This window comes from Homo sapiens, chromosome 17 (genome assembly GCF_000001405.40).
Source record: "Homo sapiens chromosome 17, GRCh38.p14 Primary Assembly".
NCBI lineage: Eukaryota > Metazoa > Chordata > Mammalia > Primates > Hominidae > Homo > Homo sapiens.
The window spans coordinates 30,617,173-30,639,949 of record NC_000017.11 but is presented as its reverse complement, the minus strand read 5'-3'; the positions used below and the strand labels follow the sequence as shown (position 1 = coordinate 30,639,949).

General features: G+C 44.5%; 4 pseudogenes across 2 annotated transcripts in view, besides 1 other annotated feature; 1 reads left to right on the top strand and 3 right to left on the bottom strand.

The window, feature by feature from the left end:
- The window catches only part of SMURF2P1-LRRC37BP1 (SMURF2P1-LRRC37BP1 readthrough transcribed pseudogene), a 61,002-nt pseudogene continuing 40,708 nt past the window's right edge, over nt 2,484-22,777 (bottom strand). The window contains exons 7-9 of the transcript NR_015341.2: nt 8,023-8,195; nt 6,560-6,852; nt 2,484-5,956 (exon numbers count right to left, since the gene is read on the bottom strand). The product of NR_015341.2 is annotated as an SMURF2P1-LRRC37BP1 readthrough transcribed pseudogene (transcript). The remainder of the gene's footprint in view (nt 5,957-6,559; nt 6,853-8,022; nt 8,196-22,777) is intronic.
- On the bottom strand, nt 2,486-8,195 carry LRRC37BP1 (leucine rich repeat containing 37B pseudogene 1; annotated as a pseudogene).
- Nucleotides 2,486-10,270, top strand: LOC100420850 (leucine rich repeat containing 37B pseudogene; annotated as a pseudogene).
- Nucleotides 12,788-12,872: a non allelic homologous recombination region, noted in NCBI's record as "recombines with the NF1-REPc UWA160-1 recombination region". NCBI's record gives the evidence for it as "EXISTENCE:nucleotide sequencing assay evidence [ECO:0000219][PMID:15236313]".
- On the bottom strand, nt 13,127-15,632 carry SH3GL1P2 (SH3 domain containing GRB2 like 1, endophilin A2 pseudogene 2; annotated as a pseudogene). Its single transcript, NR_033420.1, has one exon. The product of NR_033420.1 is annotated as an SH3 domain containing GRB2 like 1, endophilin A2 pseudogene 2 (transcript).

The window sequence follows — 22,777 nt, the reverse complement described above, 5'->3', positions numbered from 1 at the left end:
TAATAATACAAAGATTAGCCGGGTGTGGTGGCAGGTGCCTCTAATCCCAGCTACTCGAGAGGCTGAGGCAGGAGAATCGCTTGAACCCGGGAAGCGGAGGTTGCAGTGAGCCGAGACATACATAGTCAAAAGAATTGCAAACAAATAGTCATGCAGAAACGCATACACGTATGTATACAGCAGCATTATTCTCAATGACCAAAAGGTGGAAATAACCTACATGTGCATTAACTGATGAATGGATAACTCAAATGTGATTGATCTATATAACGGATATATTATTCAGCCTTGAATGAATTTCTGACGCATGTTACAACATGGAGAACCCTTGAGGGCATTATGCTAAGTGAAATAAGCCAGTCACCAAAGGACAAATACTGTGTGATTCCTCTCATATGAGGTACTTAGAGTGGTCAGATTCATAAAGACAGAAAGTAGAAGGGTGGTTACCATGGGCTGGGAGGAGAGAATGGGGAATTAGTGTTTAATAGGTACAGAGTTTCAATTTGGGAAGATGAAAAAGTTCTGGAAATTTGTTTTACAACAGTGTGAATATACTTAACACTACTGAATTGTACACTTAAAACTGGTTAGAGACAGCCAGGTGTGGTAGCTCATGCCGGTAATACCAGCACTTTGGGAGGCTGAGGTGGGAGGATCACTTGAGTCCAGGAGTTCAAGACCAGCCTGGGCAACATAGCGAAATCCTGTCTCTACAATGCAAAAATTGGCCAGGTTTGGTGGTGTGTGCCTGTGGTGCCAGTTACTTGCGAGACTGAGGTGGGAGGATCACCTGAGCCCCGGGGAGGCTGAGGTTGCAGTGAGTCATGATCACACCACTGCACTCCAGCCAGGAAGACAGAGTGAGACCCTGTCTCAAAAAATAGGTGGGGAGAGGGGGCAGTGGTTAGACTGTAAATGTTATATTATGCCTACTTTACCTCAATTTTTAAAAATTGTTTGAAGCCACACACAAAAGTCTTATTTAGTGAAATCATGTATTGTATGATTTATATGAAATGTCCCAAATGGGCAAATTCATAGGAAGTAAATACTTGCCAGGAAATAGGAGAGGAAATGGGGAGCAGGGCCAGTGATTCTGGGGCTTCTTTCTGGGGTGATGAAAATGTTCTGGAATTAAATAGTGGTGATGGCTGTACAGCCTTGTGAATACTATACTAAAACCCACTAAATTCTGCACTTATTTAAAAGGGTGAATTTATGGTGTATAACTTATATCTCAATAAAAATTAATAAAAAGGAGTGGTATGAGGAATTGGGAAAATACACACACACACACACACACATATATGTGCCTTAACTCTAATCAGTTCCCTTTGTCCTTTCTGAAACAAAGTTGTACCCAACTGATAGTATAGGGTGTCCAGTCCAGATCTCTCTCTCTTTCTCTCTCTCTCTCTATATATATGTATATATATGTATCTGTATCTTTCCAGAAAAATATGCAAAATGGCTTGGTGAATTTTCTTTTTGATTTTAACACTTAACTTTTTTTGGCCAGTCGTGGTGACTCACACCTGTAATCCCAGCACTTTGGGAGGCTGAGGTGGGTGGATCACTGTAACCCAGGAATTTAAGACCAGCCTGGGCAACGTATCAAGACCCCTTCTTTACAAAAAATACAAAAATTAGCCAGGCTTGGTGGCACGTGCCTGTAGTTCCACCTACTTGAGAAGCTGAGGCAGGAGGATCACTTGAGCCTGGGAGGCAGAGGTTGCAGTGAGCCAAGATTGCACCACTGCACTCCAGCCTGGGTGACAGAGCCAAACCTTGCTTAAAAAAAAAAAAAAAAAAAAAATCTAGCCTCACAGTGGCTTATGCCTGTAATCCCAACACTTTGGGAGGCCTTTATGGCAGGAGGATGCCTTGAGCCCAGGAGTTTGAGGCTGCAGTGGGCTATGATTATGCCATTGCACTCCAGCTTGGGAGACAGAAAGAGAACTTGTCACAAAAATAAATTTTTTTTTCTTTGCTTTCTTCCTTTTTTTTTTTTTTTTAAAGACAGGGTCTCACTCTTTCAACTGTCACCCAGGTTGGGGTATAACAGCTCAACCTCAGCTTACTGCAACCTCCACCTCCCAGGTTCAAGCGATACTCCCACCTCAGCCTACCAAGTAGCTAGGACTACAAGTGCACACCACCACCCCTGGCTCATATGTTTTGTGTATTTTTTTGTAGACATTGGGGGTTTTGTCATGTTGACTATTTTTTTTGTAGAGGTGGGGGTTTTGTCATGTTGCCTGAACTGGGCTCAAGCGATCCACCCACCTCAGCCTCCCAAAGTGCTGGGATTACAGGTATGAGCCATTGCGCCCCGCCAATTTTTTCCTTTTACTGTCTGTGGTTCCACAACTTCCTTTTTGCCTGTTCTCTATGGACTTTCTACTTCATTTGGACTCTACTTAGATTGGCCTAGTTTTCTCTTTAGTCAAATCTTCAGTAACCAATTTATTACCATTAAAAATGATCTAATAAGCTTTATTTTTATTATTGTTAAAAATTCTCATTTTGAGGAACACAACCACAAAGTAAAGAAAGTTTTCATTGATTTAAGTAAAAAACCAATATTTAATAACAATTTTAAAAACATGGCTCTAGGCCATCCACATGCTTTAACTCATGCTCAGGCTCCTGATATTGATGGGTTGTCTTTGTATTTTTCTGATGCCCTTTTATGTGAATTCACCCGTTTTGGAAGAAAACACAATTAAGGTTATCTATCACAACAACCACTATCTCCAATGTGTATTCATTCCTTTTATTCATTTTAAGTCTCATCTACCCGATGAGATAACTTTTTTGAAGACAGGAATTGTATGCTGTTTAACAGTGCTTTGATTCTTCCACAGTTCAGTCATCCTTGCTACCTTGCAGACGACTGGTTCTAGGATATCGCCTCCACACCATACCAGAATCTGTGGATGCTCAATCCCTTACGTATAATGGTGCAGTGTTTGCATATAACCAACACACATCCCCCCCATATACTTTATTTATTTACTTACTTAGAGACAGGATCACCCTCTGTCACTCAGGCTGGAGAGCAGTGTCACAATCACAGCTCACAGCAGCCGCAACCTCCTGGGCTCCAGTGATCTGCCCACCTCAGCCTCTTGAGTAGCTGGGACTACAGGTGCATACCACCACACTAGCTAATTTTTTTATTTTTATTTTTATTAAAGACAAGGTCTCACTATGCTGCCCAGGTTGGCCTCCCAAAGTGTTGGGATTACAAGTGTGAGTCACCGTGCCTGGTCCCATGAACTTTAGGTCATCACTAATAAAATGTATAGATATTGTATCATGGCAACAGTTGTTATACTGTACTTTCTAATTGTATTTTTATTGTTTTTTTCTTCAAATATTCAGCCTTATCTAGTTGAATCTGAAGATGTGGACCTGCTGATGAAGAGGGCTGACTGTATCTAACTTAGGGTCTTGCATGTAGCTGGTACTTAACGCATTTTATTGACTGTTTTAGCTAACATTCAATGGACAATTCCTAATAAAAACCTCTTAAAAGTATGAAAAAAAGGAAACCTGCTCTAAAGTGGCAGGAAAACCAGCCTGGGCAACATAGCAAGATCTTGTCTCTACACCAAAAGTTTTAAAATTCACTGCCTGCCTGTAGTCCCAGCCACTCAGGAAGCTGAGGCAGGAGGATCCCTTAAGCCCAGGAGTTTGAGGTTACAGTGAGCTAGATCACACCATTGCTCTCCAGTCTGGGTGACAACAAGGCCCTGAGAAAGAAAAAAAAAAGAAAGGAAAGGAAGGAAAGAGTGTAAGTATTGAAAAGGAAGAGACAAAACTATAATTATTTGCATATAAAATAATAAATGTTAGCCAAAGAAGCCTAAGAGAATCAACTAAGATTTTACTGGAAGTAATATGAGAATTCAGTACGGTGGCTAGAAACAAAATCAAGAGAGCAGCACACAAACCTCAAATGCTTTTCAGATGTACCACCAATAACTAACTAGAAAATGGAAGAAAGATCCCATTTACAATGGCAATACAAATGTCTGAAGTATTTAGGAACAAAAATACAAAGATCTGTTATCTAACAAAAGACGTGTAAGATCTATATGATGGAAACCCTAAAACTCTTCTGAAAGACATTAACAAGAAATGAATACATGACATGAAATACCATGTTCTAGAATGTCGTACAGATGTCAATTCTCAAATTAATCTACAAATTTAAGGTAATCCTATTCAAATCCCAAGATAGTTTTTGGTGGTGGCTGTTTTTGAGACAAGGTCTCGCTCTGTTGCCCAGGCTAGAGTGCAGTGGTATGACCACAGCTCACTGCATCCTCGACCTCCCAGGCTCAAGCAATCCTCCCACTTCAGCCTCTGAAGTCTCTTATATGGTGTCCAAGAAATGGGGACAAATCTCACAAAGGGACTAGGCTCAGGAGGGCTGGAATATTCAGGGAAGTTTCTTTTTTTTTTTTTTTTTGAGGCAGAGTCTCGCTCTGTCCCCCAGGCTGGAGTGCAGCGGCCCGATCTTGGCTGGCTGCATGCTCCACCTCCCAGGTTCATGCCATTTTCCTGCTTCAGCCTCACAAGTAGCTGGGACGACACACGCCCGCCACCACACCCAGCTAATTTTTTGCATTTTTAGTAGAGAATGGTCTGTGTTAGCCAGGATGGTCTCGATCTCCTGACCTTGTGATCCGCCTGCCTTGGCCTCCCAAAGTGCTGGGATTACAGGCGTGAGCCACCGCACCTGGCCTATTCAGGGAAGGTTTCAAGCAGAAAGATGAACTGAGTTGGCTTTGGAGAGATTCACAGGACTCCCACAGGCAGAGTGAAATAAGGGCATTGTAGATGGACAAAGGCACAGATGAGCAGCAATGGGGACAGTGTGACTGGGGGACGCTGAGGGGCTGCTGTGGCTGGAATGGAGGGCTGCCACCATAATGGAAATGGCCAATGAGGCAAATAAGGTTGGATTAGGAGCATAGCATCAAGGGTGCCAGCTTATTAAATCCCTCTTCCAGTATGCTAGCACTGGCCTGCTGGGAAAAGTAATACATCACATAATCAAACAAAAGGCAAAAAGAGGCGAGCTCCAGGAATAGGCACTGTAAACAGGACTCGCCCCAGGGTAGCCAGATGCAGGCTTTAGATTTGTTGATGCAGGTTGAGCATCTCTAATCCGAGGGGGAATGTCTCATATGGTGTCCAAGAAATGGTGACACATCTCACAGAGGGCCTAGGCTCAGGAGGGCTGGAGTATGAGACATTCCCCCTCCCCTGTGAATTTGAAAACGTGGCCAAAATTTTTTTTTAAAAATGGCTACCCTGTAGTTCTTTAACTGGACCTATTTAGACAACACCTTACACACTGGAGAAGGATGATACTATGTGAATCTAGTAAGTCTACAAGACAATACTTCTCTCTTTTGGCTGTCTTCTTCCTCTCCAGGGTGATGACAACTCCGTGAGGGTGGAGATTATATGTCTCTCATCATTTAAGCAACAAGGAAATAAATTAGTGGCAGAGTAAGGGGTGACTCAGTGAGTACATCCAATTGTTGACATAGTTTTGGGTGGGAGAAATTTTGCTATTATATCAACTTAACTTCTTAAAATAGTCTAGTGGGATTAACTTGGTTTTATTTCACAGAGACCTCCTGGAAGCGAGGATCCTTTAACAATCCTGGAATATACATTGCAGTAAAAGAACAAAGCACACCTCAGCCTTAAATGACAGAAGAAGAATGTCAAGTGGGAAAGTGACGTTGGTTTTCAGTTTGTGGATTCTGAATCCACACAAACACAGGATTGTATTTTGAAAACCTGAATTAATTATTGTCTTTACCTCTATAAAACAAAAAATTATAATCAAAATTATTAGTATGACAGTCACAGATATTGCGAAGATGAGTTTGTTCTTATAGTCATATCCTGGAACTTCTTTCATGAGCTAAAAAAAAAAAAAAAAAAGAAAAAAGAAAGAACAATTAAAAAGAGAGAGAGAATGGAAGCTAACTTTTCAAAACCCCAGTATTCCAGTTGAGTAGCTTACAGGTTCTTTTGTTCTTTTTATTTTTTTTGAGACAGGATCTCACTCTGTCACCCAGGCGGGAGTACAGTGGTGCGATCACAGTTCACTACTGACTCGACCTCCCTGGGCTCAGGTGATCCTCCCACCTCAGCCTCCTGAGTAGCTGGGACTACAGGCACGTGTCACCACACGCAGCTAATTTTTGTATTTTTTGTGAAGACGGGGTTTCACTACGTTGGCCGAGCTGGTCTTAAACTCCTGACCTCAAGTGATCCACCCACCTCGGCCTCCCAAAGTGCTGGGATTACAGGCATGAGCTACCACCCCTGGCCTACAGTTCATCTTGTGCCCTAATCTATTTCACTGTCTACATGAGCAAAGTGGGAGATCACTGTCATGGCCAAAGTTACATGGCCAAGACAAGCTATGGCCTGGGAGTCCCAGGTTCTCCTATGTGGGCACTTTCCTGGCATATGCTAAATGATGGGAAATCTGGGTCTCATGTTTCTGTGTGCTCCTCACCTCACTTGACTTCTGCTCTTTCTGTTCATTCTGTTCCATGTTCTCATTAATATAATTTGTTTTTTGTTGGTCCGTATCCCATTCTACATTCAATGCCTTTGCTTCCTGCTGCTCGCTGAGAAGCTTCATCAGGAGGCCTGTTCGCGACATGAGCTTGGCACAGCTCCCTTGCACATGTGTTTCTGAACATTCCATTTTCAAGGTCCAGATAACATGAGACATGAACTTTCTCACATCCTCGTTGGGGATGAGGGACCGTAGCTGCTCGGTTAGCTGAATTTCAAGCTGATCACCTGGGGACGAGAGCAATGGGTAATTGAAGCTTTTGGGCTCAGGGGACAAGTCAATGCCCACATTGTTGTATTCCCATTTTGTCTCAGTTTGTTTAACAGTTGGTTCTAAGTTGAATGCAGTCCCAGCGGAAACTGCCTCAGGAGGATGATTGTAGTTTGTGTTTTCAGAGATGTGTCTTTGAACACATCTCTTTTGTGTCTTTTACATTAGTTGTGTCTTTTACATTAGTGTTTTCTGTAAAACGTTCTGAAGGAGCAACTACTTCCAGAAGAGGGTTTTCTTGAGGACTCAGGTCTCCTAAGGATGAAAAAATCCCTTGCGAATGTATGAGGCTCTTTGCTGCAGAGAACAGCGGCCTCTTTGCGAGCATCGGTCTGTTGAGATAACTGCCCTTTCTAAACTTTCTAATCTTTTTGGCCTTGGGTGTTCTGTGGGCCACAATGGAGTGAGTTTTATAAAAGCGCTATTTTTTTCTGGAATGTGTGATTGGTTTAGCAGCCTTCATGTTTTTCACTCTAGCCATTGCCATTTCTAAAATTAAAATGGTGTAGGCTAAGTCTTTCGATCTGTCTCTGACCTGAGGTAGGGCTTTTGCAGGGCTAGAGGCAGAAGGCACGCCCATGGAGAAGGGTTTCAGCACAGAGGAGACTGCTGCCTTATGCTCTTGGGTGAATGAAGGCTTGGTGTAGATGGTGTTTCCCACTACCTTCTCAGGCCCCTGCACTATGTGAGGCTGTTCCAGCTCCCTTGGGGCTGGACCCTCAAGCCTTTTTCCTTTGGCAGCATTGTCCACAAATGCCTGGGCATCCTGTTCTTTCCTAGTGCTGTGCTTTCCCACCTTTTTGAAGTGCCTTTCCTGGATGCTCCTTGGGCCCATGAGGACTCTGTTCACTCTCTGCAGGTTTTTGCCTACACTTTGAATCTTTGCCAGGCGGTTTTCCTGTGGTTGCGCAGTTTCTAATTTTTTTTTCAAATATTTTGTTTTTAAATTTGTTACCTAGAAGGCTGGACTGTGAGGGGCTCTTTCTATTGTTTTTCAAAATACTCAGGAGCCTATCTCCATCTTGTACATTTGAAAATAGCTGTTCAGTGAACGGTAACAATATTGATTCTGCACCTAGATTTCTCAGTGAGAGATAAGGCAAGATGTAACTTAGTGCGCTGCTAACATCACTCTCGTCATTGGTGTCTAGCTGCTCACTCCCAAAGCCTGACAAGTTGATGCCACTGCTGTCTGAGGGCGCCTCCGACTCAATAGTCAGCTCAGTGCTCATGTGCTGCTTCCGGGCTTGTAACATCTTCATGAATGCTCCTTCTGGATTCCCTACAGATGCTTCTTCAGCTGTCAGAAAAGAAGAGACTGCTTTGATCATGAAATATCTTTGATCATCTTTCATACTCAGTCCATAGCTGTATGCCCCAGTCACACAGAGTAAGAGTCAGCAAACATTCGAGTGCCATTCAGAGAGGAGAAACATACACCCAAACCTAAACCTATGAAACGGCAACAACGAAAGGAGGAAAAGACATCTTTTGAAAACATGGCCACCTACTTGGAACATTCCATAGTGTGACATAGAGTAACTCTGCTTAGGATTATTCCGTTGATCCCCAGGGGCCAATTGCCCAGTGCTCAGTCAAAGCCCAAGGTGGAAGACAAGTGCTTCCCTGATGAGCTGATGAACTGGCCTCTCTGCAGACTGCTCCATACCCTGTGCTGTCCTGCCTCATATGCAGAGAGAGCACAAGGCTCCCACTCTCCTCATCCTCAGTGTGCCCGTGTTCTTGCTACCATCGCAGCTGAATGCAATGAAAGGCGGTCCTCTGAGAGGAGCAGGGTGGAGATGCTAAAGGAGCAGGGAGGGATGCCCCCTCCCATTGCTGATAGATCCTCATCTGGCATGTGCTCCACCCACCCACCCCATTCTCTGCTCCCACATATCATAGCCCCATCACAGAAGATGCGACATGGAAAAAAACACTGTGTCCACCTTAGTTCTTTTCTTAAATTTGGGCAGGGATCCAGGGTGTAGGTTAGGAGATTTTTAATTTGCCAGATTGTATGCCTATGTTGTTAAATATACAATGAATCTATGGTATGGTAGCAGTTTCTGGATAAACATTACTTGAGGTCCTAAATGCAGAAGGGAAAAAGTGACTTTTGTCAGATGCCTACTTCACTTTCATTCATCTCTAATATTTTGGATGGGGAACCATCCAAAGCTTCTGACTGCATGAAGGTCAAGTGTGCCAGTGTGCAGCTGGGCTTCTTTTCCAGAATTAAAAGTATTTTGGGTGGTGCTGAAGGTCAGCGGAAGTAGTAAAGATTGCGAGAAAGGAGAAACATGGGCTTGGGGAGAACCCAGAATTGGGGACAGAAGACCTGGCACTAGGCTACAGCACTTAGCACCTCTGATCTTGTTTTTCCTCACCTGTAAAAGGAGATTAACAATGCTTTTCTGCCCGCCTCTTGGGGAGAAGGGAAGAATATAATTGGTAAAAAAAAAAAACAAGAAAAGAAAAAAAAAAAGTTCTGAAAAATAAGCAACACTGTCTTTATAGAGGTAGCCAAGCATTATTAATTATCCACCCCATATCACTGGTAGATACCTGTATTCAAGCAGTCACATTTTAGAAGTCATGAAGTTGGTGCTAATAAACCTAATCTACAGAAAAACTCTTGAAAGCATTTGAGCATTTGTTCTGCGAATAGAAAGGTTTGAGATTCAGAGCAAGTTCAGAGTTGGATGGACTAAGAATGGAAAAGCCCTCCATTCCAATAGAAGAGCCAGGTAGCAATTTCTGGTTATGGAACCAGAAGCTCTCAGGCTTCAAATAAAACAGCATCACTTCTACTCTTATAAAACTGTAAAAACAAAAACAAAAACAAAACCGGATCTACATCTGTCCTAAAAGGCAGAGAGTACTTGAGACCTCATGGATATAAAACCAGCTTACAAACTACATTGCACTATATGAAGAAATTATCACTGGGGGCAAAGCACCAAGCAGAGAGCACAGTACACAGTGTGTGGATGTTAATGTTATTCCCTAGCCTTCCCATTCCTTTCTCTTGGTCCTTTATGCATATGGAACGGTTCCATTATTAAACTTTGTAATAATAACTGAGAACCTGACTCCCAGCAAGGGAGTCGTTCAGAAGTTGAGGGAGTTGAAATCTGACTGAGTAAATAAAACAATTAAATCATTAGCTTAACATTTCATCAATTAAAAATAAAAATTTAAAAACAAATACTTAAAATAATGTAACAATTTATCATCACCAGGCAATTTGGACTCACGACAGTGTATGCTGTTAGACATGCAGTGTTGCAATGCAGCTTGACTGTCTTGCAGACAGCCTCAATGCTATTTTTAAATTGGCAGAGGCAGCAGGCCATATGGCTAGGTAAGATCCTATAGATGAAAACACAAAACAATAAATTAGTGGTAAGGCGGTTACTTGAGTAGGTAAAGGAGGCAGCCAACGCTACCACAGGGCTGGGCAAAGAGGTGTTACTGAGGCCTGTGGACTGGACACTTGGGTAGGAACCAGAAGGCCAATGGGAAGGAGGACACAGGTGCCCAACTGAAGGGTAAGCATGGCAGTGAGTATGGTATGCCTAGAATAAAGGTGGTTGGGATTAGAATTGGGTGACACTGATCAGTAGTTTAAATTCAGAGGTATCTCTTCCCGACTCAAAAGTCTCACTTTGGGCTGAAAGTATACAGGAAGAAGGTAGACTTCTAAGAAGAGTCTGAATAAGCCCCCAACTTCTGAAGGCCCTTTCTCAATTTCTGTTGGGAGTGGGAAGTATTAGAAATTACTCTGGGCATTAAAAATAGCTCAGCTTAACCTGGATTGTGGGGTTAAAAAAAATAACGGAGATTGCATTGGCCAAATCTGGACAATTTGAGCTTTCAAAAGAATAACAACAATAAGCTACAACATAATATATAAAAAATCCATGAAGAATGATATTTTAAAAGAGGGGGAGTTGTTCTTTAATGAAATAATGCTAGCTAATAAATGTAGAAGGAATGACAGAATTTTAAAAAGTGTCACTTTGCAACCACCAATGTAATAAAAATAGATTCAGACAAAGATTATCATTGATGAACAGTTGGGTGAAAAGACATTTGAGAACAGGATCTTCACTGATCTCAAAGTACCACCCCACAGATTTTTTATTAATTACCAAAGGGAAAAGTTATTTTTTATTTTTTTATGAGACAAGGTCTCACTCTGTCACCTAGGCTGAAGTACAGTGACAAAATCATAGCTAACTGCAGCCTCGACCCCCTGGGCTCAAGTGACCCTCCAAATTCAGCCCCCCAGGTAGATGGGACTATAGGCTTGCACCACCACCCCAGCTAATTTTAGTTTTTTGTTTTTGTTATTTTTAGTAGAGACAGGGTTTCACCTTGTTGTTCAGGCTGGTCTAAAACTGGACTCAAGTGATTTGCCCATCTCGGCCTTCCAAAGTGCTGGGATTACAAGTGTGAGCCACCACACCCAGCAAAATAACCACAGTGGAGAGATCTGGAAGATCACCTTAAACAAGTGATCAAACTTAGCATTATGAGCCACCTGGGGTCACGAGGCAGGAAAGATACATCACCTATGCAGTATTCTTCCCAAAGATGCTTACCTTGAATCTCATGTGGAAACAGAGAAATCCAGATTGTGGGACAACTTACAAGACAACTATCTTTGACTCTTAAAAAATGCCAATGTCATGAAAGATCAAAAAAAGTAGAGGCATGTTTTAGATTAAAGGAAATGAAGACATGACATGCAGTGCCTGATCTTTGACTGGATTCTGTAGTATTCTTTCATCTTTCTGCATGTTTGAATTTTTTTCAAAATATAAATTTGGGCAAAAGAGATAACCAAGATAATTGATTAATTTATTGTTATGGCTTCTTGGGGGCAGTTTCAGAGAAATAAAAACAATCTCTGTAACTGGAATAAATTCTCAAGGTTAATCTTAAGCAGTATAGCATGGTCATTAAGAATACAGATTCCACAGCCAGACTAGGCTTAAATCCCAGCTCTGTGAATAATGTAAATTTGGGCAAATTGCTTAATCTCTGTTCCTTGGCCTTGTCATTATAATAGTACCTACCTCAAATGAGTTTTGAGGATTAAATGAATCCCTACCTGAAAAATGTCTGGCACACACTGAGTGATCAATAAATGTTAACTACTATAAATATTACATTACAGAAGTTGTAGGGGGGCCTCTTCTGAATCCTCTAAAAGGATGACTTTGTTAGGGCCACATTAAGACTGTGGAAACAGAAGAGTATTCAATGGATACATGAAGTCTGTGAGTTGGGGGTATGATGTATAGAGTTTTAGATTAAAACTGCATCCAATAAGTTGGCCTGATAAATCTTTCAAACCTACAGAGGAATAATCACAAGTGACTCGTATTCCTTTGGGTCCAATAGAAGCCTCTGATCTTCATATAGATTGAATGTACCCAGAACCATAACCTAGCATTTTACTTATATAGCAACCTTAACTCTGACACAAAGATGTTTCTTTTGTTTTGAGGCTGAGTCTCGCTCTGTTACACAGGCTGAGTGCAGTGGTGCAATCTTGGCTCACTGCAGCCTTTGTCTCCTGGGCTCAAGTGATCCTCCCGCCTCAGCCTCCTGAGTAGCTAGAACTACAGGTGCGTGCCACCACACCTGGCTCATTTTTGTATTTTTTGTAGAGATGGGGTTTCACCACGTTGCCCAGGCTGGTCTCAAACTCCTGAGCTCAAGCAACCCCCTCTCCTTGGCCTCCCAAAGTGCTGGGATTACAGGCATGAGCCCAAAGGTTTTGTTATTCTTTTCCTGCCCCCAACTTTTGATTTTAAACATTTTCTTTTTTTCCTTTAAGGTTTAGGATGGCTAGGAAGCATTTTCAAATGGTATAACGAACACCTGTATAACTTGCATCTGGAATCAACAGTAGCTAATACTTTGCCACACTTCCTTTCCATGTGTGTATGTTTATACATTCTCTGGACAAACCATTTGAGAGTCAGTTGCAGACATAATGACCCTTCACCATTAAAGACTTCAGTGTGCAGCCCCTAAGAACCAATGCATTCTCCTCCATAACCAGAAGACTCTCATCACCCAATGGAACTTAATATTATCATTGCCTACTATGCATTCCATATACACATTTTCACAATTGTCCCAATCATAACATGGCTTAAAAAATTCAGAATCCAATCAAACATCAGACATTGCATTTTCTGTTCATGATTTTTTTTTTTTTTTTTTTTTGTAGAAAGACCTTTAATACTTCTGTTTACAAAATTCGGGCATACATTTCAGTTTGCCCTGAACCGTGCCCAAGGCTGTGTGCTCATCTCTGCCAGGGTGTCTGTGCCCTTCATGTACTGCCGACCACGAGGGTGCAGAGCAGAGCCTGGGGTCCGGAGGCTTCGCTGGGCCTCAGGGGGAGGGGAATGTGAATGTGGCCCAGCCCAGAGGACCCTCCATTTCGTCGATTTTGGATTGGGCGACAGAGGAAGCAGATGTCGGGGCTGCAGACATGCTGGCCTGGACAGGGGTCTGGGGACCCCGGGGCTGCCTGCCGTGGTCTAGAGGAGATGGCTGGGGCCACTTCCCACAGGGTGGGTTGGCAGCGGCTCGGCAAGGGGAGGCCTGGCTACCAGGGGCTTGAACATTTGCTCACTGGAGCCTTTGTGCTTGGCCCTTAGCAGCACAGCTGGGGCTGTGGTCCCGTGCGAGGTGTGCTGGGGGGGTGTGTAGGTGGCTGGTGGTGGCAGCTTGTGCCAGAGTGACACAGGCTTCCGTGGGCCTGGCTGGGGGCAGTTAAAAAGCTGAAAAGGTACTTGGTGTGTGAGGGTAAGGCTTGGGAGGCAGGGCCCTAGAGGAGGCCATGTTCTCTGTCCTGGTTGAGGGGAGCAGTATGGGGGGGAAGGTGGGGCAGATCCCAGCTGGCCTCTGTCTCCTGGTTGCAAGCTGACAGCAGGCCAGGGAAACAGTGAGGCCCTCTGCCCTGGCCTTGGGGAGAAGGAGTGCATGTGTGAGGCTGGGGTACTGTGGCCCTGGAGTGGGGCTAGGGTTCATCGCCAGGAGCAGGCTTGTGGGGGGATTTAAAACCAGGGTCCTGTCTCTGAGCCACCCCACAGGGACACTCGATCCAAGCCTGTTAAGGCCGTGGAACTCGAGGGTAAGCTGTGGGCTGGGCCCCCATGGGGTCAGGATGGAGGTGGGGGCTGCCCTGGAGGAATATTAGTGTTTCTGAGAGCACCTTAGTGTTGCCCCGTCTGGGCCAGCTGGGTGAGGAGTTGGGGAGCGGGAAGAAGGCCGGCGCCATGGAGTGAGGAAGGGAGCCGTCACCGTTAGGGGTAAGCGCTAGTGTAAACAAGCGTCCCCACCCACCCCGATAAGCCTCCCACCCAAGTGTGGCTCCCTGCTGAGGGAGTACCTCAAGGGCCCGGGCCTGGGTGGCGCCAGAAGGCTTGGACACCGCCCTGGCAGCAGGAGCCCATGGAAGGCAGGAGACCTGGCAGGGGGTGCCACCCAGTGTGGATGGAGGGGTGGGGCGGGGGCACCAGTGAGTCACTGGGCAGAGGCATGAGCACGTCCATGTAGCTGAGCAGGAAGAAGCCCAACTGGCCGTCCAGCATGCCCTGGTACCAGTTCTCGTTGATCTGGTTGATGAGCGTGAAGACGTCGCCCTCATGGAAGCCCAGCTCCCCATGGTTCTCAGGCTGGAAGTCATACAGCACCTTGCAGCTTGGCTGGTCTAGGGGCGGCATGCTCCTGCTAGGAGTACAGATGGACTTGTTGGAAGATTGGAAAGGGGATGAAGCTGCGATCTTGGGGACTGTGGTGCAGGGGAAGCCCCCGTTGGACTGCTCAGGCTCTCCGAGGTCAAAGGGCTCCCAGAACTTGGGCTTATACTCCCGCTTGGGGCGTGAGGAAGCTTCCCGCATCCTGCGCTTGAGCTTCTCTGCCAGCTCGTCCAGGATCTGCATGGCCTGCCAGTGGTCGTTCAGCTGCGCCTCCGCCAGGGCCCGGAGTTGACTCATCTGCTCAATGTCGGTCTCCAGGAGGTTGTGCATGCTGGTTTCTGCTACCTCCTTGGAGTCCTCAAACTTCTCCAGCGCCTGGCGCAGCTCCTCATCGGGGATCTTGCCCTGCCGCTTCTTTTAGTCAAAGTCCAGGCGGCGGCCCTCTAGCTTCTGCAGGTGGTGCTGGATCCCCTTCAGGTCTTTCTCACACAGGTTCTGGAGGAGGTCAATGAAGTTCTGCTTGACCTCTATGTCCAGGGAGTCCTTCACCTCTGCCAGGTGCTTCATGGACTCGCCGGCATCCAGCAGTGCATCACTGAAGTTGGACTCGTTGCCCAGCTCCTTCTGGTGGCGGATCAGGCACTCGCTCAGGAGCCCCTCCGACTGCGGGTAGCCGGGGTTCTTCACCTGGCCCTGGATCTTTCACACTGTGTTGAGCATGGTCAGCTTAGCCTGTGAGGCTGGGTTGGGCTCCAGGTACTTGATGGTCCTTGCCAGCATTTCCATCACCGCCTTGCTGATGACATCTCCATCTCTTTGAAGTCATTGTCCAGCTTGGTCCCCTCAGACCCTCCGACCTTCTCACTGACCAGCTGGCTTGCCTTGTAGAACTGCTTTTTCAGCCCTGCAACCAACAGGCTGCCTCCCGCCGCAGAACCTCCCGCCCAGACCGCGCCAGCGACAGGCTTCTAGGTGCGCGACCCTCTGCACACCTCAGGGGCCCCACCACGTGCTTGCCAGCTCTGCGCCTGCCCCGGCACCGCCTCGAGTTCATGATTCTTTAGTCTCCTTCAATCTAGATCTGTTCGCAGGATTGTTTTAAAGTATACTGACAAAACTTTGAGACTGTAAGTGACCTGAGATATACATTATCCTTACTTGAGAATAGTAATTTTTCAATACGCGTTAAAGATCATTACACATGAGCCAAGACAAATGAGCTGGCCTACTTACTTTGTATATAAATGTGTAAACTCCTCAAGAATTCCAATAATGAACTCCAATAAGGAAATTAGTTCAACGTCTTTATGGCCTTGGTGACAAATGGTTACAGACAATCAGAGCATTTTTTTCCTATCCACTAATGGTCAAGAAAAAAGCAGACAGATCCTCACTATCTTAGAGAACTAAGTGAGAAAGTTGGTCGATGAAGAGGACTTCATCCAGAGAGGAAGGGATGTAGCTTACAGGGAAGATGCTGCAGGAGGCTGAGGAAAGTGAGGCTAGAGCAGTAAAACAGATCTGACAACCTGGTGAAGATAAAAAAGTGACCTGACAAAAATGAACGGAGCAGAGTGCCAAATAGAGGGCCCTTTCCATGCTAATCTTGCATAATGCCCTCAACCAGCCTTAGCATAACTGAGTTTCTATTTAGCTTGCCATATTGTGGGGGGGGGTGTGGTGGCACAATTTAAGTTGCAGTAAGTTGTGTAACAAACTCACAATAGGGCCCTGCAGAAATATATATATATATATAAAATATATATATATAATATATAATATATATAAAATATATAAAATATATATATAATATAAATATATAAAATATATATAGAAATATATATAAAGATATATAATATATACATATATATGTATAAATATATATGTGTATATATATATAAATATATATATATATATATATATATATATTTTTTTTTAGGCAGGGTCTTGCTCTGTCACCCAGGCTGGAGTGCAGTGGTGTCATCTTGGCTCACTGCAACCTCTACCTCCTGGGTTCAAGCGATACCCCCGCCTCAGCCTCCCTAATAGCGGGGACTACAGGAATGTGCCATCACACCTGGTGAAGATATATATAGATATAGATAGATATATATCTATACCTATATCTACAAAGAAGGCCAGGCATGATGCCTCATGTCTATAATTGCAGCACTCTGGGAGAACGAGGCCGGAGGATCACTTGAGGCCAGGAGTTCGAAACCAGCCTGGACAACACAGTGAGACCTCATTTCTCCAAAAAATAAAAATAAAATTGCAAAAAAACAAAGAAACAATAAACCTCACACCATATATGCAAATTAACTCAAAATGGATCATAGATCTAAATGTCACTATACAATTTCTGGGAGAAGACATAGAGAGTAAATCTTTTCCACTTTGGATTAAACAACAGGTTCTTAAAGATTTCTTAGGTAAGAAACAAAAAAGCACAAGCCATATAAGAAAAAATTGCTAACTTAAAGCTGATCAAAATTAAAAACTTCTGCTCTTCACAAAACTTTACTTATTTATTTTCTTTCTTTCTTTATTTTTTTGAGACAGAGTCTCACTCTGTTGCCCAGGCTGGGGTGCAGTGGTGCAATCTTGGCTCATTGCAACCTCCACCTCCCAGGTTCAAGCACTTCTTGTGCCTCAGCCTCCTGAGTAGCTGGGATTACAGGCATGGGCCTCCACAACTGGCTAATTTGTGTATTTTTAGTAGAGATTGGGGTTTTGCCACGTTGGCCAGGATGGTCTCGAACTCCTGACTTGAAGTGATCCACCTGCCTCGGCCTCCCAAAGTGCTATGATTACAGGTGTGAGTCACTATGCCCAGCCAGAGAACACTTTTAACAGAATGAAAAGACAAACCACAACCTGAGAGAAGATATTTACCAAACACATATCTATAAGGCCTTGTTTTTTGTTTTTAATTTATTTACTTATTTACTTTTTGAGATAGTATCTCACTCTGTGACCCAGGCTGGAGTGCAGTGGCGATCACAGCTCACTGCAGCCTCGACCTCCCAGGCTCAAGCAATCCTCCCACCTCAGCTTCCCGTGTAGCTGGGACCACAGGTGAGCACCACCGCACCTGCCTAATTTTTATGTTTTTGGTAGAGACAAGGTTTCACCATATTGCCCAGGTGGTCTAAAACTCCTGGCCTCAAGAAATCCTCCTGCCTCAGCCTCCCAATGTGCTGGGATTATAGGCATGAGCCACTGTACCTGGTCCCTGAAAAGACTTGTATCTAGAATCTATAAAGCACTCTTTTTTTTTTTTGTTTGAGATGGAGTCTCACTGTGTCGCCCAGGCTGGAGTGCAGTGGCGTGATCTCTGCTCACTGCAAGCTCCACCCCCTGGGATAACGCCATTCTCCTGCCTCAGCCTCCCGAGTAGCTGGGACTAAAGGTGCCCGCCACTACCCCCGGCTAATTGTGTGTCCAAACCTTCTGGCGCCACCCAGGCCCGGGCCCTTGAGGTACTCCCTCAGCAGGGAGCCACACTTGGGTGGGAGGCTTATCGGGGTGGGTGGGGACGCTTGTTTACACTAGCGCTTACCCCTAACGGTGACGGCTCCCTTCCTCACTCCATGGCGCCGGCCTTCTTCCCGCTCCCCAACTCCTCACCCAGCTGGCCCAGACGGGGCAACACTAAGGTGCTCTCAGAAACACTAATATTCCTCCAGGGCAGCCCCCACCTCCATCCTGACCCCATGGGGGCCCAGCCCACAGCTTACCCTCGAGTTCCACGGCCTTAACAGGCTTGGATCGAGTGTCCCTGTGGGGTGGCTCAGAGACAGGACCCTGGTTTTAAATCCCCCCACAAGCCTGCTCCTGGCGATGAACCCTAGCCCCACTCCAGGGCCACAGTACCCCAGCCTCACACATGCACTCCTTCTCCCCAAGGCCAGGGCAGAGGGCCTCACTGTTTCCCTGGCCTGCTGTCAGCTTGCAACCAGGAGACAGAGGCCAGCTGGGATCTGCCCCACCTTCCCCCCCATACTGCTCCCCTCAACCAGGACAGAGAACATGGCCTCCTCTAGGGCCCTGCCTCCCAAGCCTTACCCTCACACACCAAGTACCTTTTCAGCTTTTTAACTGCCCCCAGCCAGGCCCACGGAAGCCTGTGTCACTCTGGCACAAGCTGCCACCACCAGCCACCTACACACCCCCCCAGCACACCTCGCACGGGACCACAGCCCCAGCTGTGCTGCTAAGGGCCAAGCACAAAGGCTCCAGTGAGCAAATGTTCAAGCCCCTGGTAGCCAGGCCTCCCCTTGCCGAGCCGCTGCCAACCCACCCTGTGGGAAGTGGCCCCAGCCATCTCCTCTAGACCACGGCAGGCAGCCCCGGGGTCCCCAGACCCCTGTCCAGGCCAGCATGTCTGCAGCCCCGACATCTGCTTCCTCTGTCGCCCAATCCAAAATCGACGAAATGGAGGGTCCTCTGGGCTGGGCCACATTCACATTCCCCTCCCCCTGAGGCCCAGCGAAGCCTCCGGACCCCAGGCTCTGCTCTGCACCCTCGTGGTCGGCAGTACATGAAGGGCACAGACACCCTGGCAGAGATGAGCACACAGCCTTGGGCACGGTTCAGGGCAAACTGAAATGTATGCCCGAATTTTGTAAACAGAAGTATTAAAGGTCTTTCTACAAAAAAAAAAAAAAAAAAAAATCATGAACAGAAAATGCAATGTCTGATGTTTGATTGGATTCTGAATTTTTTAAGCCATGTTATGATTGGGACAATTGTGAAAATGTGTATATGGAATGCATAGTAGGCAATGATAATATTAAGTTCCATTGGGTGATGAGAGTCTTCTGGTTATGGAGGAGAATGCATTGGTTCTTAGGGGCTGCACACTGAAGTCTTTAATGGTGAAGGGTCATTATGTCTGCAACTGACTCTCAAATGGTTTGTCCAGAGAATGTATAAACATACACACATGGAAAGGAAGTGTGGCAAAGTATTAGCTACTGTTGATTCCAGATGCAAGTTATACAGGTGTTCGTTATACCATTTGAAAATGCTTCCTAGCCATCCTAAACCTTAAAGGAAAAAAAGAAAATGTTTAAAATCAAAAGTTGGGGGCAGGAAAAGAATAACAAAACCTTTGGGCTCATGCCTGTAATCCCAGCACTTTGGGAGGCCAAGGAGAGGGGGTTGCTTGAGCTCAGGAGTTTGAGACCAGCCTGGGCAACGTGGTGAAACCCCATCTCTACAAAAAATACAAAAATGAGCCAGGTGTGGTGGCACGCACCTGTAGTTCTAGCTACTCAGGAGGCTGAGGCGGGAGGATCACTTGAGCCCAGGAGACAAAGGCTGCAGTGAGCCAAGATTGCACCACTGCACTCAGCCTGTGTAACAGAGCGAGACTCAGCCTCAAAACAAAAGAAACATCTTTGTGTCAGAGTTAAGGTTGCTATATAAGTAAAATGCTAGGTTATGGTTCTGGGTACATTCAATCTATATGAAGATCAGAGGCTTCTATTGGACCCAAAGGAATACGAGTCACTTGTGATTATTCCTCTGTAGGTTTGAAAGATTTATCAGGCCAACTTATTGGATGCAGTTTTAATCTAAAACTCTATACATCATACCCCCAACTCACAGACTTCATGTATCCATTGAATACTCTTCTGTTTCCACAGTCTTAATGTGGCCCTAACAAAGTCATCCTTTTAGAGGATTCAGAAGAGGCCCCCCTACAACTTCTGTAATGTAATATTTATAGTAGTTAACATTTATTGATCACTCAGTGTGTGCCAGACATTTTTCAGGTAGGGATTCATTTAATCCTCAAAACTCATTTGAGGTAGGTACTATTATAATGACAAGGCCAAGGAACAGAGATTAAGCAATTTGCCCAAATTTACATTATTCACAGAGCTGGGATTTAAGCCTAGTCTGGCTGTGGAATCTGTATTCTTAATGACCATGCTATACTGCTTAAGATTAACCTTGAGAATTTATTCCAGTTACAGAGATTGTTTTTATTTCTCTGAAACTGCCCCCAAGAAGCCATAACAATAAATTAATCAATTATCTTGGTTATCTCTTTTGCCCAAATTTATATTTTGAAAAAAATTCAAACATGCAGAAAGATGAAAGAATACTACAGAATCCAGTCAAAGATCAGGCACTGCATGTCATGTCTTCATTTCCTTTAATCTAAAACATGCCTCTACTTTTTTTGATCTTTCATGACATTGGCATTTTTTAAGAGTCAAAGATAGTTGTCTTGTAAGTTGTCCCACAATCTGGATTTCTCTGTTTCCACATGAGATTCAAGGTAAGCATCTTTGGGAAGAATACTGCATAGGTGATGTATCTTTCCTGCCTCGTGACCCCAGGTGGCTCATAATGCTAAGTTTGATCACTTGTTTAAGGTGATCTTCCAGATCTCTCCACTGTGGTTATTTTGCTGGGTGTGGTGGCTCACACTTGTAATCCCAGCACTTTGGAAGGCCGAGATGGGCAAATCACTTGAGTCCAGTTTTAGACCAGCCTGAACAACAAGGTGAAACCCTGTCTCTACTAAAAATAACAAAAACAAAAAACTAAAATTAGCTGGGGTGGTGGTGCAAGCCTATAGTCCCATCTACCTGGGGGGCTGAATTTGGAGGGTCACTTGAGCCCAGGGGGTCGAGGCTGCAGTTAGCTATGATTTTGTCACTGTACTTCAGCCTAGGTGACAGAGTGAGACCTTGTCTCATAAAAAAATAAAAAATAACTTTTCCCTTTGGTAATTAATAAAAAATCTGTGGGGTGGTACTTTGAGATCAGTGAAGATCCTGTTCTCAAATGTCTTTTCACCCAACTGTTCATCAATGATAATCTTTGTCTGAATCTATTTTTATTACATTGGTGGTTGCAAAGTGACACTTTTTAAAATTCTGTCATTCCTTCTACATTTATTAGCTAGCATTATTTCATTAAAGAACAACTCCCCCTCTTTTAAAATATCATTCTTCATGGATTTTTTATATATTATGTTGTAGCTTATTGTTGTTATTCTTTTGAAAGCTCAAATTGTCCAGATTTGGCCAATGCAATCTCCGTTATTTTTTTTAACCCCACAATCCAGGTTAAGCTGAGCTATTTTTAATGCCCAGAGTAATTTCTAATACTTCCCACTCCCAACAGAAATTGAGAAAGGGCCTTCAGAAGTTGGGGGCTTATTCAGACTCTTCTTAGAAGTCTACCTTCTTCCTGTATACTTTCAGCCCAAAGTGAGACTTTTGAGTCGGGAAGAGATACCTCTGAATTTAAACTACTGATCAGTGTCACCCAATTCTAATCCCAACCACCTTTATTCTAGGCATACCATACTCACTGCCATGCTTACCCTTCAGTTGGGCACCTGTGTCCTCCTTCCCATTGGCCTTCTGGTTCCTACCCAAGTGTCCAGTCCACAGGCCTCAGTAACACCTCTTTGCCCAGCCCTGTGGTAGCGTTGGCTGCCTCCTTTACCTACTCAAGTAACCGCCTTACCACTAATTTATTGTTTTGTGTTTTCATCTATAGGATCTTACCTAGCCATATGGCCTGCTGCCTCTGCCAATTTAAAAATAGCATTGAGGCTGTCTGCAAGACAGTCAAGCTGCATTGCAACACTGCATGTCTAACAGCATACACTGTCGTGAGTCCAAATTGCCTGGTGATGATAAATTGTTACATTATTTTAAGTATTTGTTTTTAAATTTTTATTTTTAATTGATGAAATGTTAAGCTAATGATTTAATTGTTTTATTTACTCAGTCAGATTTCAACTCCCTCAACTTCTGAACGACTCCCTTGCTGGGAGTCAGGTTCTCAGTTATTATTACAAAGTTTAATAATGGAACCGTTCCATATGCATAAAGGACCAAGAGAAAGGAATGGGAAGGCTAGGGAATAACATTAACATCCACACACTGTGTACTGTGCTCTCTGCTTGGTGCTTTGCCCCCAGTGATAATTTCTTCATATAGTGCAATGTAGTTTGTAAGCTGGTTTTATATCCATGAGGTCTCAAGTACTCTCTGCCTTTTAGGACAGATGTAGATCCGGTTTTGTTTTTGTTTTTGTTTTTACAGTTTTATAAGAGTAGAAGTGATGCTGTTTTATTTGAAGCCTGAGAGCTTCTGGTTCCATAACCAGAAAT